Below are 16,561 nucleotides of genomic sequence, written 5' to 3' on the forward strand. Positions count from 1 at the left end.
TTTTCTCCCCTGACAGCTACAATAACACTGTATTTGGCCTCTGGTAAAAGACTGCAATATCCTTAGCTTTTTTACATAAATCCCCAAACTTCATTTCTCTTTACCCCTTCCTTACTTTTATTAAAGGTTAAACACTCGTTTACTTAGCATAAAAAGACAGGTTACGTTTGGCATGCAAAATGATCTGATACAGCTGAGTGTAATACAGCCAGCGCCCAATATGACCCAGCTCTTGGGCAAAAAATCAGGGTAGCGATCATTGTTGAGACTTATATGTAGATTATAATGGGAATATGATGTCATTGTTGAATTTTTTGTAAAAACCGACAAAAATGAAAACAAACTCTCATAAATGTTAAGCAGTACTATAAGCATTCCGTATCTAATTTGCATTTAAATGGAAAATGTTATATTTTCAACATGAGTCAAGGAGCAAAATTAATAAGTCATCAATGTTGCTTATGTTCAATGCTGCACTTTACCCAAACTTAATAGGTCATTATTTCCACTTTAGAGTATTACCGTTTGGGAGATTTTGTTTCTTCACGGGAGGGTCACATTTTCGCTTTTTGTTTTCGGATTAGGCCATCACAAAGAGTTAGATGTTTGTCAGTGTAATGTTTGTTTTACAGAACCACAGAAGGGAGGGTTTGGAAACTACTAATGATTTCCAGTTCATTAGCACCTACAAGTTCTCATGCATCCTGTTTGTTTCCTCCACCAAGGAGGTGCCGAGTAATATAATGAAGCCAGTATCAGTGGTGTGCTACTTGTGTAGCAGTGCAGAAAATGTATTTTTATTTTTCCTTAAGAAACAGCTCTTGCTAAACTTAAGAGAAATGGAGCTGCACATTCCTGGGAAAAACCTATGTGGGAAACAAAAACTAATTAGAGCAGCAAATGTGATGCTTTCAGGTAATTGTAAAATAATTATTCCCCTTTAGTATCATCACCGTGTAATTGTTCCATCCAATATCCTCATGCTCTGAATCCAGATGTGAAGGGATGGAAACCATCTCCTCCTCCTGGGAATGTATTTTTCATTTAGTGAGAGCTTTAGACTCCTCCTAAAGGACTTTTAAAAGAAAGGGGAAGACATTGAGGGAGATTTTGAACAGCTTCACTCTCCCCATTTGTTCTAAATCATGACAGAAAGTGATTACTCCAACTGTTTTTATAGAAATACAATTCCAGTTATGTGGCTGAAATGCCTTGTGAGCGTATTTGAGATTTACGCATTGGCCGTGCCAACCTGGAGTTTTATGAACAGTCTCTTTTATGAACTGCAGATTGTATGTTCTGTTTAGATACTAAAAGTGATGTTTTAAAATCAGCTGATAATTTAAAATGTAATGCTAATAAGTGTGTAGTCCTGTGGTTTTCAAAATGACGTATGAGTACAAATTCAGGTTTTGGTTAAATTTTATTTACTCCATTTGAGTGAATGCCTCAGAGCCAACATAACCAGCAAATTATTAGACCCATTTTTTTTCCTCCTAAAGATTTATGTAAATTAAGTTTAGGCTGTATTTAAACTATCAGGTCGGCTTTATTAGTCTGTGTTTTTCTATCAGGTTATGTGGCCTTTTACTTAAGGTTGGGTTTTAAATGAAGAAATCTATTCTGAAGAGATCTTCATTTAAACAATCTGTGCGTCCTCCAGATCAGCAGCCCAGGAGTCACCTAGGTAGTTGACCAGTTTGCCAGGATTCCTCTAGTGCTTTAAAGGTAGGAGTTAGATACAATATTTTGATTTTAAATCTCAGTAATTAAAGAAGTCAGTCGGGTACGGTTGCTCACGCCTGTAATCCCAGCACTTTGGGAGGCCGAGGCAGGCGAATCACCTTCAGGAGTTGGAGACCAGCCTGGCCAACATGGCAAAACCCTGTGTCTACTAAAAATACAAAAATTAGTTCGCCGTGGTTTCGCATGCCTCTAGTCCCACTTACTTGGGAGGCTGAGGGGGGAGGATCGCCTGAACCTGGGAGGTGGAGGTTGCAGTGAGCTGAGATGGCAGCATTACACTCCAGCCTGGGCGACAGAGCAAGACTCCGTCTTCTTCTTCTAAGAATAATAATAGTAATAATAATAATAATAATGAAGAAGTCCCGGAAGTTTGTCTCCTCAGTGAGACTGTATGCAGTGCTCTCTGTCATAACCATGGAAATCCAGTCTCCCCAGTGCCACAGCTGATTTGTCTGACATTTACAAGCTCCAATAGGACTGAAGATTTCCTACTTTCACAGATGAAGGTGGTGACTCACTACTCAGGGACAATGAAATTAAGGTCAGCTGATTTATTTCACATCTTGACATAGCTTTTGGACAGCTTAAATTGTTTCTGGTACCATAACAGTGTACTCCCAAGTACTTTGATTTACATACTAAGTCTAAAATTCTGTGCTTTTATGCTGAAAGTCTTGATTTTATGCTTTTTCTAAAGAAAGTTCACAGCTTGAGTAAAACTCATTAAATTTTAAGGTGGTATTTTATATCCTTTCTCCCAAATTATGTCTTCCTTTCTCCTAGTAGCAGGAAAGTTGACCCTCATTTATTTGACACAAAGACAATCAGTTGGTCTTTTAGGCTAAAAGAGTAAAGTATTTTGTCATTTACTTGAATGTGGTCAGTAGGCCTGAAATATGTGTGGGGGTATATACATATATGTGTGTGTGTGTGTGTGTGTGTGTGTGTGTGTATATGTATGTGACTGTATATCTGGAAAGTCATCTTATTGGACATATGGTTAGGCTTTGTGTCCCCACCCAGATCTCATCTTGAATTGTAGTCACCATAGTCCCCACGTGTCAAGGGAGAGAGCAGGTGGAGGTAATTGAATTATAGGGACAGTTTCTCGTGTGCTGTCCTCGTGGTAGCGAGTTCTCACGAGATCCGATGGTTTTATAAGGGGCCCTTCCCCCTTCGTTCAACGCTTTCCCTTCTTGCCACCTTGTGAGGGAGGTGCCTGGCTTCCCCTTCCCTTTCTGCCGTGATTGTAAGTTTCCTGAGGTCTCCCCAGTCATGCTTAACTGTGAGTTGAGTAAAACTCTCTTCTTTATAAATTACCCAGTCTCAGGCAGTTCTTTATAGCAGTTTGAAAATGGACTAATACAGCATAGGTCTTCGCTTTCTTAAAATATTTACCACGAAATGGTCTTTGGTTACAAAAGTGATCATACTTGTGTTTTTGGATTATTACCATTGTAACTGAAAGACTTTATGTTCAGAAAAGTTTCACATTGTGACCAAAGATGTACTGCAAATTAGTGATACTGCTAGAAAAAAGTCTCAGGACTGTATTTCAACTCTTCTGCCCAGAACTTTGGATTAACTCTGATGAAGGGTGAAGACAACCTCACTCTGGCAGTTCTGCCATGTTACTGGGTGAAAAGCTCAGACTCTTTCCCTTTTGAGGGCCTCTTTTCTCCTCACTGCTGAGTCCTTGGATCTGGGGGCTTCTTCTGTTTCTCAGTGGCAATTAAGATGTTGCTACTCCTGAGGTCTTTTCAGAGTTAGAGTAGGAAGAAAAACAGACTTCACAGAGAAATCTGGACAGTTGGGCCTCCACGGATGTTTTCTTGTTATGCAGACACATACGGTCCTCCGCGGACCACACCCCCTACCTTGTGCCTCTTGGCTGCTGCTTCCATTTTATATGATCCATGTCATGATCCCACTGCCACCTGTTGCTGTTGAAAGGGGTCCTTGAAATTTTTATTGTCTAATGGGAGTCCAGCATATAAACTGAACACTTAAAAAAGGTGAACGTTACAGCAGATTCACAAGCCCGGAAGTGGGTAAATTGGTTTAAACCAACTTAAATACCTACCCGCCTCCCCCGCCACACACACCCAGGTGTTTTCTCTTTGGAACTCGGGGGGAAGACATTGGGTATCAAGTAAAACAGGGTTGAAATCATTTGGTCCTTGAAAACTCTTAGGGGAATAATAGAAAGATGATACCCAAAAGTGTGAAGACAGAAAGCATTTGTTAGAGGACTAATGTGGATTTACTTCGTTGTTTTGCTCTTCACTCCTGAATCTCTGTACCCTGGCCTAGATTCAGTGTGGTCATAACCAGTACAGAGTACAGCTTTCTCTGAAGTTGTCTTGTTGCCCTTCTTATGTTTTCCTGATTTATATATATGTTTTAAAAAATCTCCTTTAATGCCCGTTTTATCCTTTTCCTGAGCGGCTTCCTAAGTTTCAACAGAAGGGGCCACAGCCGTCTGGGACTTAGTTCTCAGGGTTGGAGCCTCGGGAGGAGAGCAGTATCCAAATACCTAGCTCATCACTTGTAAATTCCACTGGAGCAGCTGCTTGTTTCTGCGCATTGAACTGTATTTTGACTTCCTACATTATAGGAGGAGTGTTGAGTTTTCGAGTTGAGCATAAGGGTGGCGTGTTTCGGAATGATTAACTTTATGGATGTCTTTGTCTGGGCCAGCTATATTTGGCTATGCTGCAGCTGTGTTTGCCTTCTCAAAATTGTCACCAGGAGGCCTCCAACTGCAATTAGTCACTTCAGTCCACGCTGGTAACATCTTTGCTCGTGACTCCCATTGTCCAGCCAGCCATCTTTTCTTGGTGTCAGGACTGAGAGATAACACAGGAATCCTTTGAGAAGCCTGAATGCTGCTGGCAGCTCTGTCTCAAAGCAGTTTCTTAATATTAAGCCATCCTTACATTGCCTCCTCGTGCATTTGGGATTCTTCTTTCTTTTCACCACAAGCTCATGTTTTCCTGTCTGCTCGTTCCCCCTTTTCTTTTACGCTCTGATGTCCGAAAGTTGCCGCCAGCATCAAATGGACGGTGTTTCTTCCTCTTCTGGGTACCTAGAGCGCTTGGGAATGCATTTTTACTTCTGGTGTCTTAGAGTCCCCTTACATAAGGGCCCCTTTCCTGTGTTGGAGAGGAGACTGAGAGGCAAGTCGTTTTTTTTATCTTCACCTCGGTTGAGTACTTGCTACAGAATTTACCTTTCTTTCGGGAGGAATTGAGGAAATACTTTTTCTTACTACAAAGACCATTTTCATTCCATTGGCTATGCGTGGTTTTTAATTTTTCATGGAAGTAACTTCCTCTTGGATTGTTCGACTTGCCCTGTATGTCGTAGAATGGAACCACTAGGGACATGGCTTCAGGGCCTCTCCCAGCACCAGAGTGGAAGGGCATCCTTCAAGGCTAGGCGTCCTTTGCCACTGTCTTATGAGAATGCCTGGCCTGCCTTCTAATCTGTTCCATGCCTACTTCAAGTCTCAGTTGACTTGTCAAGATTCCTCGTCTAGAAAATAAGGACAATAAAATACGCTGCTTACCTGTCCCACAGTATTACCGTCAGACTAATGTTGGGAAAGAAATGACAACCTAAATATTTTATAGCTTCCTGGCACTTAAAACTGGCCGCAAGTTCCCCCGCATTTCCCGGGAGAATCAAATTTAATGGAACTTCATTGCAGCTGAAGAGTGAATGTTTTCTTCTTCGGAACTTTCATGCTTTTAAGTCTCAGGCAAAGACCCATAAAGCATTGTTGCTCCCAAGTGAACTTTCAGAAAACGCGCAGTCCCTAGGACAACATCATGAAGACTGATTCTTTTTTCTTCCCCTCACCTTTCTGCATGATGATTGAGAAGTTCAATGAAGTTCATGTTCCTTCTGTGAACTAGTGGTCAGACCTTTCCATTCTGGGATGGGGGGGAAGCAAAGGCAGTATCTCCACGTGGTCCTTCTGAAAAGCCCTTCTCTACACCAGATTTTGATTTTCTTATGGGAAGAGAATCAGCCACACGATATGAAGGCTGGTTCTGACATAATGGGAATCACAACCCTTGCAGAAACCCAGCCGTTAAGGAAACGATTTTTTCTTTTCTTTTCTTTTTCTTTTTTTTTTTTTTTGAGATGGAGTCTCACACTGTCACCCAGGCTGAAGTGCAGTGGCGCGATCCCGGCTCACTGCAACCTCTGCCTCCTGGGTTCAAGTGATTCTCTTGCCTCAGCCTCCCGAGTAGCTGGGATTACAGGCGCCCGCCACCATGCCCTGCTAATTTTTTGTATTTTTAGTAAAGATGGGGTTTCACCATGTTGGCCAGGCTGGTCTCAAACTCCTGACCTCATGATCCACCTGCCTTGGCTTCCCAAAGTGCTAGGATTACAGGTGTGAGCCACCGCACCCAGCCTTTTTTTTTTTTTTTTTGGGAGATGGAATCTTGCTCTGTTGCCCAGGCTAGAGTGCAGTGGTGCGATCTTGGCTCACTGCAACCTCCACCTCCTGGGTTCAAGTGATTCTCCTGCCTCAGTCTTCTGAGTAGCTGAGATTACAGGCCCCCACCTGGCTAATTGTTTTGAACTTTTAATAGAGATGGGGTTTCACCATATTGGCCAGGCTAGTCTCGAACTCCTGACCTCAAGTGGTGAGTCCACCTTGGCCTTCCAAAGTTCTGGGATTACAGGCGTGAGTCACTGCACCTGGCCAAGGACACGATTTTGATGGTATGAATATGGAGCAGAGAGGTCTGTAGACCTGGCAGCCTTGGGTGGCCTCATAAGGTGCTCAGGCCGCAGAATGCCTGGAGGATGTAGATGGAGAGAGTCCTTGGGGAAATGACCTAGACAAGGAATTGGTGATTTTTGCCTTATGTGGTGGTGTAGGGTTAAGACAAGGGGTTTGGGGTATGGGTTATCTGTAGCATCTATGTGGTGTCCAGCTGCAGGGTGTGTCCTGGTTATTTTGGTGGTTAATAAAAAAGGCACTTCTTTATTCTGATGTAGCTGATAGGGTCTTTGGAGTGCTAAGAGATCAGAGTCTCCACAGAATGTGACAGTTTGCTCCCAGTGCTGCAAGTGACTTGATGCCCTAGATCAGACAGCACAGATTCTGTTTGGAAGCCTAAAGCCTCGGTGTGTGAATCCATTGTTGAGGAATATCCTCCACGACGGGCCAGGGGAATATTTGGCACCTACTGTAGCTGAGAGTGTGATATTGACTGTGGAGAAGCTCTCTGGGCTGTGAATGTGACCTCCAAAATGCAGACTCTTGCCTCTCATCACACAGCACTTTGCATTAGGGTGAACCAGGGAACTTTGCTGGAGGCAGGGGGGCCTTTGGCAATATCAAAGATGACTGTTGTTGCTGAGATTCTTGGGAAGGGAAAACTAGGTCTGTGGCTGAAAGCTGGCAAAATCTTTGGAGAAGAGGGCCAGCCACACAGATACTACAAATGTTTCTGTACAAATTAATTGGTACTTTGTAATTAGCACTTTTTCTCTTATCAATGTCCAAGAAGTCTGATTAACTTTATAGGCAGACTTTCAGTTGGGCCAACAGTTTTAAATCTGCCTGTTGTAAAAAGTGACCAAAATTGGACTTTTGTCACCTCAGAAGCCACGTGATTGGCCACACTTTTATCTTGCCTCTCTCTCAGTCTCGTTTTTCAGGTCTCCTAAGGATGTGCTACTTTTGTTCCAGATTTGTTTCCAGATGCCTGCTCAAGTAATAATCGTGCAGACCCCAGAAGCCAGAAAACATTTTCCAGTGTCAACCAAACTAATTCCTTGCCAATCATACGCTGCTTTTTGGTGTGTGTTTCTTTTAATTCTGATTACTAACACTTTAAGGGATGCTGCCTTCCTGTGGTTACATTTTCTGAACTATTTTATGAGATTAGTTATTCTTGATTTAGGATATACCATGGGCCAGCCATCAGGCTAAGGAGTTTATATTTTATCAATAATTCTCAGAAAAAATTTCCTCAATAATTTGTGTCATTTCCATCTCACAAATGAGGATATTGAGGTTCTAAAAGGTGGTGGTACTGAAAACTCGAAAATGTACCTCTGTTTCTCATTTCCAAAATCTGAGGTTGCACCTGTGTTTCTCATTTCCAAAGCCTGAGGATGCACCTCTGTTCCTCGTCTCCAAAGCCCGAGGTCCCACTTCTGTTCCTCATCTCCAAAGCCTGAGGTTGCACCTCTGTTTCTCGTCTCCAAAGCCCGAGGTCGCACTTCTGTTTCTTGTCTCCAAAGCCCGAGGTTGCAGCTCTGTTTCTCACCTCCAAAGCCTGAGGTTGCACCTCTGTTCCTCGTTTCCAAAGCCTGAGGTTGCCTGCAAGTCTCTTGAGGATTTTTTGGTGTAAACAGGTTGAGTTTCTGGATAGGTGGGCATATTGGCAGCTGAATATGTGGGTTTTGAGTGTGAAATACAGGTTCTTAGCTATGACCCAGCAATCTTCTACTTGTTCTGTGCTCTTCCACATAAATTGCTTTTTCTTGATTGTATTTCATAGAGCAATTTCTGAGGCTGGAAGGCAGGAGCATTGTAAGAGACATGTCAGTGGATGGGGACACCCAAGCAGTGTCAAGATCTCTTAATGCCTGAGGCAGATTCTCACTTACTGCCAAGATAAAGAAGCAATTAACATTGACTGCTAAGGTGGACACTTATTCTTCATTTATGATAACGGTATATTTTATGAAGAGGTTTCTTTGGAGGATTTCATTAGACACCTGGCATTTTCCCCCATTAACTTCCAACTTAAAAATTTTTGCATATGACTTAGACGAATGCTTGGCCTTCTCAGGTGGCGCTACGCCTTCTTGTGAATTAGAAAATGGTTCTCAGGTGGCATTTTGTCCCCACAGCCCACCTCAGTTGATGACCTTATGCAGTATCCTTTCTACAGTAACATCCGTTTTTACTCCCTCCTCCTTAAGTAGGCCTCGTAAGTAGGCAATAGAATAAATGAGCCTCTATGCAGGATATCAGTGGAGTTTCAATGATGGACAGCTGTGGCCAGCTGACATGTGGTACCTGGTCCATTTCAAGGATCATTACACTTTCAGCCACTCCACAGCTTTGTGCTCAAGTGCATAAACATTTGATGGGATTCTGTGTTTTCAGCAAATCATAAATTTCTGTCTACTTCTAGATACCCAATGTAAAGGAAGGGATAATAGAAAAGTTAGAGTAGAATTCATGCATGGGTTGGCCTAACCCACAAACCATTTCATACTGAACATTAGCTTGTCGAAATGCCTTTACTCTTGGCAGGACACAAGCGCCATAACCTAAGAGGATGTGATTTGAGTGGAGTTTTCATGCCCTGTGTGCTTATTGTATTCTTGCTACTGATGCAAACATTATCTATAATTACATTTTCAAGTGACTGAAAATTGCAGGCTTTGTGGAACAAAAATACAGCCAAAGAATGGAATGTATATTCACTCCACCCTCATTATAAGGCTTTCAGAAATCAGACTGTAAGGCCCAATACCATGGCTCTCAACTACGTGATACTAACTCCATTCTCTGATGTTTGAACACTTTGTCAAAATGCTGGGTTTCCAATGATGATCGTATAATTTGAGGAAAATGCTATTACCCTTTTAGCGCTTCATTTGCTCCATTGTTGACTCAATCACAGTGGCACCTCCTCACACAAGTCCTCTATTTCCACCCTGTGAAACAAACACAATTTGATTTAGATCGAAGCATGATAGGCAAAGTTGAGAAAGTTGGTTGAGGTGCATGCCTTCTTGGGGCAGGTGCGATTGCATCCCTGGGACATTATATGTCTTTACATCTCCCAGCTCCACATAGGGCTTAGCCAAAAAAAAAAAAAAAAAAAAAAAAATTGCTTCCAGGGGCCACCCACTACATCATGGGCTCTTTCTTTGTCCTTAGAACCTGGCTTTGGTACCAGAAAACCATCCTGGTCAATTTTACTCTTGTAGACACAAGATGAGACCCAGTTTCTAATTTCAGCTTAAACCCCTTGAAATTGTTAAAGAGAATCTAGCTGGATGGGGTGACTCAGTGCCTTTCATCCTAGCTACTCAGGAAGCTGAGGTGGGGGAATCGCTTGAGGCCAGGAGTTTGAGGCCAGCCTGTCCCTAAAAAAATAAAAATAAGAGAATCTGACATGTTATATCTTAGTATTTTGTTCATTGTTGAGTAGCATTTTAAAATCTAAGGAACTGTTTAATGAAATAGATGTTCCTTGGTTTTGGATGGAAAACTAATGAGAGGAAGAATTTATGATGGCATCGTTGTTTTGTTTTTAAGGCATGAAATTTACAATCTACGTGGTATCTCACGATGTTGTAACTCACTTTCCAGGCCCCAGTAGAGTCCAAACTCTTGGAAAATTTAAAGAAAAATTATTGTGATGGCTTTATCCAAAATAGAAGCAGAATAAATAATTGACGAAGGTTGCTCAGGAAACCTATAGACCATTCCTGATTCTCTGGTGTCTGTGTCTGACAGGATGATATGTCACCAAATAAATGTTTATTGGGTCATAATTAAATTGTGAACAGTTAATGTATATATAGTGAATTAGATGTTCCCCAATATGTATGTTGTGTTACCTTTTCTAACATAAATGATAAACTCAAATGTATGTTGGGTTTTGGACAGACTATTTTGTACTGTAATACAAAGATTACCAATTAGGTATTAACATTCATGGAGTTAAAATAACTTTGGGGTCCAGGTGAAAAGCTTTCTGAGTAATACAGTGCATCGACAAGGGTGTTTTCATTGTTTGTGTAAATGATTGTTACAGCTTTTGAAGCAAAGCCTCTACAGTGAAAATTCTGAGGCATAGACATTCCTCATCAAATATCACTGTCCAGTGGTGAGGTGTGAGGGCAACTCAATTTGTACATCTCATGAATTCTTTCTGTGAATCACAAATACTGTCTCAATGTTCAGGGCATTTTTTTTTTTTTTTTTTTTAGACAGTTTTGCTCTTGTTGCCCAGGCTGGAGTGCAATGGCACCATCTCGGCGCACCGCAACTTCCACCCCCCAGGTTCAAGCGATTCTCGTGCCTCAGCTTCCCGAGTACCTGGGATTACAGGCATGCGCCACCACACCCGGCTAATTTTGTATTTTTAGTAGAGTCAGGGTTTCTCTATGTTGGTCAGGCTGGTCTCAGCCTCCCGACCTCAGGTGATCCGCCCACCTCAGCCTTCCAAAGTGCTGGGATTACAGGCGTAAGCCACCATGCCTGGCCTCAGGGCACATTTTTGACAGGTTATTTGTTGAGGCATCTGACTAACTGCCTGGGCTTTTGATAGCATGGATTCTTAGCCAATCAGCAAAATTTATTTTAAGAAAGGTAATTAGACTAGAACCAAAGTAAATTTAGCTTTTAAAGTTATCTAATTCTCAGGGTTTCTTGTGAGCCCCTACAGTGGCAAATTGATTCCCCTGTAGTGTTGTAAATACAGTGTGAGTCAGAAAATACATTACAGTTGTACAGTCTGTACAGCAGATCGAATAGTTAAGTTGGACAACTGAGGAGTTTAGGACTTACGAGTTACAAGCGACCCATTATTGTTGGACTGAACTGATTAGTTGTTTTGTTGTCACTTGGAAACAACCTAAACATTTCTGTACTACCTGTTCCCTTTTTTAAGTCTGAAATGTCTGCCAGTGAATAAGAGTTGCAGTTTAGCATTGTTAACACAAATATTTAGTCTCTAAGTCTCATATAATGTGCTAGGTGGCTGCCGGCTGTTCTAGGTGTTACAAAAATTGTATGAAGTATAACAATAGTTGTTAGATTACAAGCTTAAATATTTGATGACTCTGGGCTTTTGTCCTGTTGACTTTGCCTGTATTTTCTTGAAGGAAACACAAGTTTAAAATGAAGAAAGAGCTGTACTTCTGTGTTGTTTTGGGGCTATGTTGGATTAATAAGGAATTTCTTGTTGAGATACAAGAAATTAACCGATGTAACTTTTAAGACCTTCATTCCTTATTCTGTAGATCAGGTGAGGTAAATATTATAATGGGGCCTCATCTTTAATTTTTATTTTTTTTTGCTGCGTCTAGATCCCTCCTAGATGTGTTAAAAATATTTCATGTGTTCCTTATTACTAAGAACACTGGAAGAAACTGTTAATTTTTATTTTTTTTGCTGTGTCTAGATCCCTCCTAGATGTGTTAAAAATATTTCATGTGTTCCTTATTACTAAGAACACTGGAAGAAACTGTTGATTGGTGGAAATGTGCACAGAAGCCCCTCTTCTGTGATCTTGGCCATTTGGACTGTAGCATCCAGTTAGCTTGTGATGGGGGAAAATCAGCATTCATCAAAACTGGCGATGTGGCAGTTCTTTCCCATTCAAAAGAGCTGCAGTGGTGGTGGTGCACTGCTCCATTAGGTCAGGTTGAATCTGGTATGATCCATGGAATTAATTGTGTAAGCAGTGGCATCTGGATTTTTATCGAGCCTGTCCTTTTGCTCCCTAAACTTCTGTAGCAGAGCTCTGTAATTTACCCGGGATTGGGAATCTTGAGAACAAGTAGATGAGGATCAGTGAAATTAAGAGGATGGAATTGCAGCCACTTGATTGACATTCGAGATCCAACCTGAGGCTCTGTTTTGTGCCCTTGGTACTCAAGTGGGTGCTGACCTGGTTTGCTGGGATACTCCCAGCTTCCATCTATTGTCCTAGCATCGTCATTAATAGTATCCTCCTTTGAATTAAAAGTGTCCAAGTTTGGATAATAAATTATACAGTCCCCTTTCTCTTGTCTGATCCTTATCACCGCCTTTCTTAAATACGAATGTGTGACCATGTTTAAAAGTCTCTGCGTGGGATTAACCCAAACTTTTCCACCAAAATGGTTAAGACTTTCAAACCTTAAGGAAAAAAAAAAATTCTAACCTTTCTCCAAGCCGTCTTCTTACCTAAATCCTTATACATAGAAAAGCTATTTAAAATTTAATACAAGTTTATTTGTTGTTTCTAATATGGTAGCAGCCTGCTGGGAGATGTCTCTCTACACCCTTCCCTGGTGCCTGGATTTAATGTGGAGGACCCTGAGATGAGGCTTTTGGGGAAACCTTCCCATTCAGTGCTGTTAATAACTTTTCCCCGTTCTGGAAAGCTGGGATAGGCAGCTCAGATGCTTCAGATGACTCAGCCAAAGCGTGACCACAGCCAGGAAATGATCTGATGATACTGCCTTTGTTCTAACACTGCCCTTTGTGAAAGAGTCACAGGAGAGCTCAGCCAGATTTAATGGCCCTGGGGTGCCTAGGTATATTTTTGAATTTTAATCTGAGATACTTTTTCACTCTGTAAGGCTAATTGCTCTTTCTCCTACCGTGCTGGAATTTCAGAGGATTTTTGAAATATGTGTGTTTGAAATTGGTTTCCTGATTTTTACATTTATACCCAGCTGTTTGTTATTCCGTTCAGCCATCAGCATCTGAGTCTCAATGGACCATGTAATGTGCAGCTGTAGCCAGATATAATGCTTCCTCTCCCTAAATGTTTCTTTTAGAAGCTTAGAGAGGCAGGCTAAAGACTGCTGATAACAGTATTGCCTGCATTAATATACCTGCTGGAGCTACACAAATTCTGCTTGGCAATTTTATTTCATGACCAACAAGCAAAGCAATGTTTGTGATCTCCATCCCTGGTAGTAATGTTGACACTGTATATATCAAGTATATCTGCACTGATGTGAGAGGTAGTTGTACAGCTAATTCAAACTGCAGGAAGCTGTCTGATCTGCATGCGTAAATACTCTGAAAGCCAGGCTGTACTTAAGCATCAGCCAGGATTCAGGTCAGACCTTTGCCAAGATTAAAACAGGTCCATAAACTGACTCTTGAATAGAGAATTTCTTAGGAAGGATAATTTTAGGATCATTTCTCTTCAGCTTATAGACAAACCTTGTTCCTAATTTGCATTTATTATTCAAATCTGTGTTTCCTTTTGTATTTGTACGATGTAACTTTGTTTAGAGGCTATAGCTTCTACTGAATTTAATTACTTTGCTTCCAGGCTTTAAATTGAGGGCAGCTTCTATTAATCGTTAATTACTTTCTTCAGCCATTTACGCAGTAAAGGTACAGTTACTAATTGAGGGTATGTTCTATACAATGGCAACAGGCTCCTTCAGTCTCAATATTTACCTTTCTGTGGGGACTGATTATTTCCCTAATCTTATCTTTTGCTAAACATAAAAGTAGACATTTCATTGACATATTGGACATTCCTATGATCCAGTGTTAGAGATCCTAGATAAATAAATGGGAATCATACTTGGCTCTGGGTTGCCACCTGGTGGTGTATTGATCCCTTTTAGCCTCCTCAGACCAATCTCCTATGGGAAGATGATATCCCTGGATCTACTATTCCATTGCTAGTTTTACGCTGAGAGCCCGCTGGGGGTTTACAGATAGGCTTGTGCCTCATGGGCGGCTGAGGGAGGAAGCATCAGTATGGCCTGGGTGTTGGTTGTTTTTTTATGTCATGAAAGTATGTGTTCCATGTGCCTTTGGTGTATTTGGCAATTTGTCTCCTTAAAATTCCTCTGTTGGCCTATGTGACATGTGATGCTTTTTCTGATTATCCTTCATTACCCCTCCATGCCCCCTTTCTTCCAGCCTCCTGACTGTGGGCGTCTTGCGCTTCTCACTCTTTGGCTCTCACCTTGTCCTTCTCATACTTCCCTTTTTAGAGAGCTTCTATCTTCACCCACTGTATTAGTCCGTTCTCACACTGCTAATAAAGAAAGATGTACCTGAGACTGAGTAATTTATAAAGGAAAGAGGTTTAATGGACTCACAGTTCCACATGGCTGGGGAGACCTCACAGTCATGGAAGAAGACGAAGGAAGAGCAAAGGGACATCTTATATGGCGCAAGCAAGAGCACATGTGCAGGGGAGCTCCCCTTTATAAAACCATCAGCTCTCCTGAGACTTACTGTCGTGAGAACAGCGTGGGAGAAACCCACCCCCTTGATTCAGTTACCTCCTAACAGGTCCCTCCCATGACATGTGGGGGTCATTACAATTCAAGGTGAGATTTGTGTGAGGACACAGCCAAACCATATCGACCACTGTATCTCAGCTGATTGGGGTGGAGGTAGGGGGAAGCTGTTTCTCAACTTGTGATCTTTGCTTTTTATCTGGATGTTTCCTGGTGAGCTGTTCCTCAGTCTCAGTAGCCTGGGCTTTGAGTCAGCCATGGTAGATAGTGGAGTCTATCTGCTTGGTGATGGGCACGTGCTGAATGCTCAAGCTGGCCACAGCCCCATGTCAACAGTTTATTAAGAGTGTAACAAACCCCACTAAGGTTTCTGTAATTTACTAAAAGAACGGTGAGAGTTGTTTATTCATCCATTTATTAGACTCAGTATTGTACGAGGTGAAGGTTCCTCGTGGCCTAGCTTGGGCTGTTGAGTTTCTTACTGACACTTTAGTCTCCACTTTGAAATGGATTTACCATGATACTTCTGTGTCATGATATGCTTCTAGTTCATGGTCCTATGATTTTAAATTTAATTTTTAAAACATGTATAAAGGTAGAGAGCAAGATAGAATTGGGTTATAGGTTGAATTAATGAGCAGTGGCAAAGTGAAAAGCTTGAGATTTCTTTGTTTTGGGGAAGCCGAAGTTTATGGAAAAAAAAAACAGTGATTTTAGTATGTAGTTTCTGTAAGACTTTGTAAAAATGCTCTTTACTCCCTGGAACTCTAGTAGGTAGCCATGTTAAGTTATAAACCAATTGTTGCTGCTGGTGATAACAGGCAGAGGAGCTGAAGCTCGCATGAGAAATGCTTTGTGTCCCACTGTTCCCTGGAGATGGCTGCCTCGGAGAGGACCCAGCCACACCAGCAAAGAGGAGCTGAGGTCAGCGTTCAGGGGGTGAACATAGTAGCTTCATTTGAAAAATGACTTCCTTTTTTTCCATCTGTAGCCTGGCTTCCCTTTGTGGAGTCCTCTTGCCTAGCCTCTGCCCTATATTCCTAAGAGAAAAAATGCTTCTAAGAATGCATCTAAAGTGGTTTGCGCTGCATTATATCACCAAGTTGTACTGGTAGAGGTATGTGGTGTGTGAAATTGAATGGTATTTCAAACGGTAGTGCTTATTAAGTTATTGATACAGGTTGGTTGTCGACTTAGGCAAGGTGTGAAGTTAATCCTATTAGACAGTGATTACTCTTCTACCAAAGTACATCAAAAGAGTAGTAGTTATGGTACTGGGACAGTAGGAATTATGACAGGATTTCTATTAATAATCAACTACTATGCAGTACACCACTATAAAAATGAATTCTAGAAGGAAAATTTGAATATCCATTTCAGCACTGATTTCATACACATTACACATATATATTTATAAATCATATATTACAAAAGATGGTAGGATAAAAGTCAAGGATTATTATTTTAAATGGTGCTCTAACATTAGTATAAATATCTCACATAAAACCATTTAAATTTCTGGAACCCCATAGGTGGGCTTAAAACTGTGATAATTATTTTAAGTTATACTGATTGGATTCATGTTTATTAAAACCCTTCTGGCATCAGTGAAACTTACTAAACTTGCTTTTGGAGTTAAAAATGGAAATTTTTACAGATTCTTTGAGATCGAGGTGGAGCAGGGCCTCCTGTAGAAAGCCAGCAGTCTTCTTGTTTCATCCCCTCAACCATCCACCACCCTAAGCCAAGTGCGCCTGAGCTTCCACAGTATCCTGGACAAGTGTGCACACGCGCTTGCATCCACACCACTCTCATGGCATCGACC

At 41.5% G+C, this 16,561-nt stretch overlaps 1 protein-coding gene across 60 annotated transcripts in view, besides 1 other annotated feature; it reads left to right on the forward strand.

Annotated features, from left to right (window-relative positions):
* Positions 1 to 16,561, forward strand: part of CELF2 (CUGBP Elav-like family member 2) — an 874,126-nt gene that overhangs the window by 559,993 nt on the left and 297,572 nt on the right. The gene's annotated exons all lie outside the window — the stretch shown is intronic.
* Positions 10,878 to 11,388: an enhancer, noted in NCBI's record as "H3K4me1 hESC enhancer chr10:11075383-11075893 (GRCh37/hg19 assembly coordinates)". NCBI's record gives its function as "activates a minimal SCP1, AML or CMV promoter by ChIP-STARR-seq in primed H9 embryonic stem cells {active_cell/tissue: H9 hESC(primed)}" and the evidence as "EXISTENCE:reporter gene assay evidence [ECO:0000049][PMID:30033119]".

This window comes from Homo sapiens, chromosome 10 (assembly GCF_000001405.40).
Source record: "Homo sapiens chromosome 10, GRCh38.p14 Primary Assembly".
NCBI lineage: Eukaryota > Metazoa > Chordata > Mammalia > Primates > Hominidae > Homo > Homo sapiens.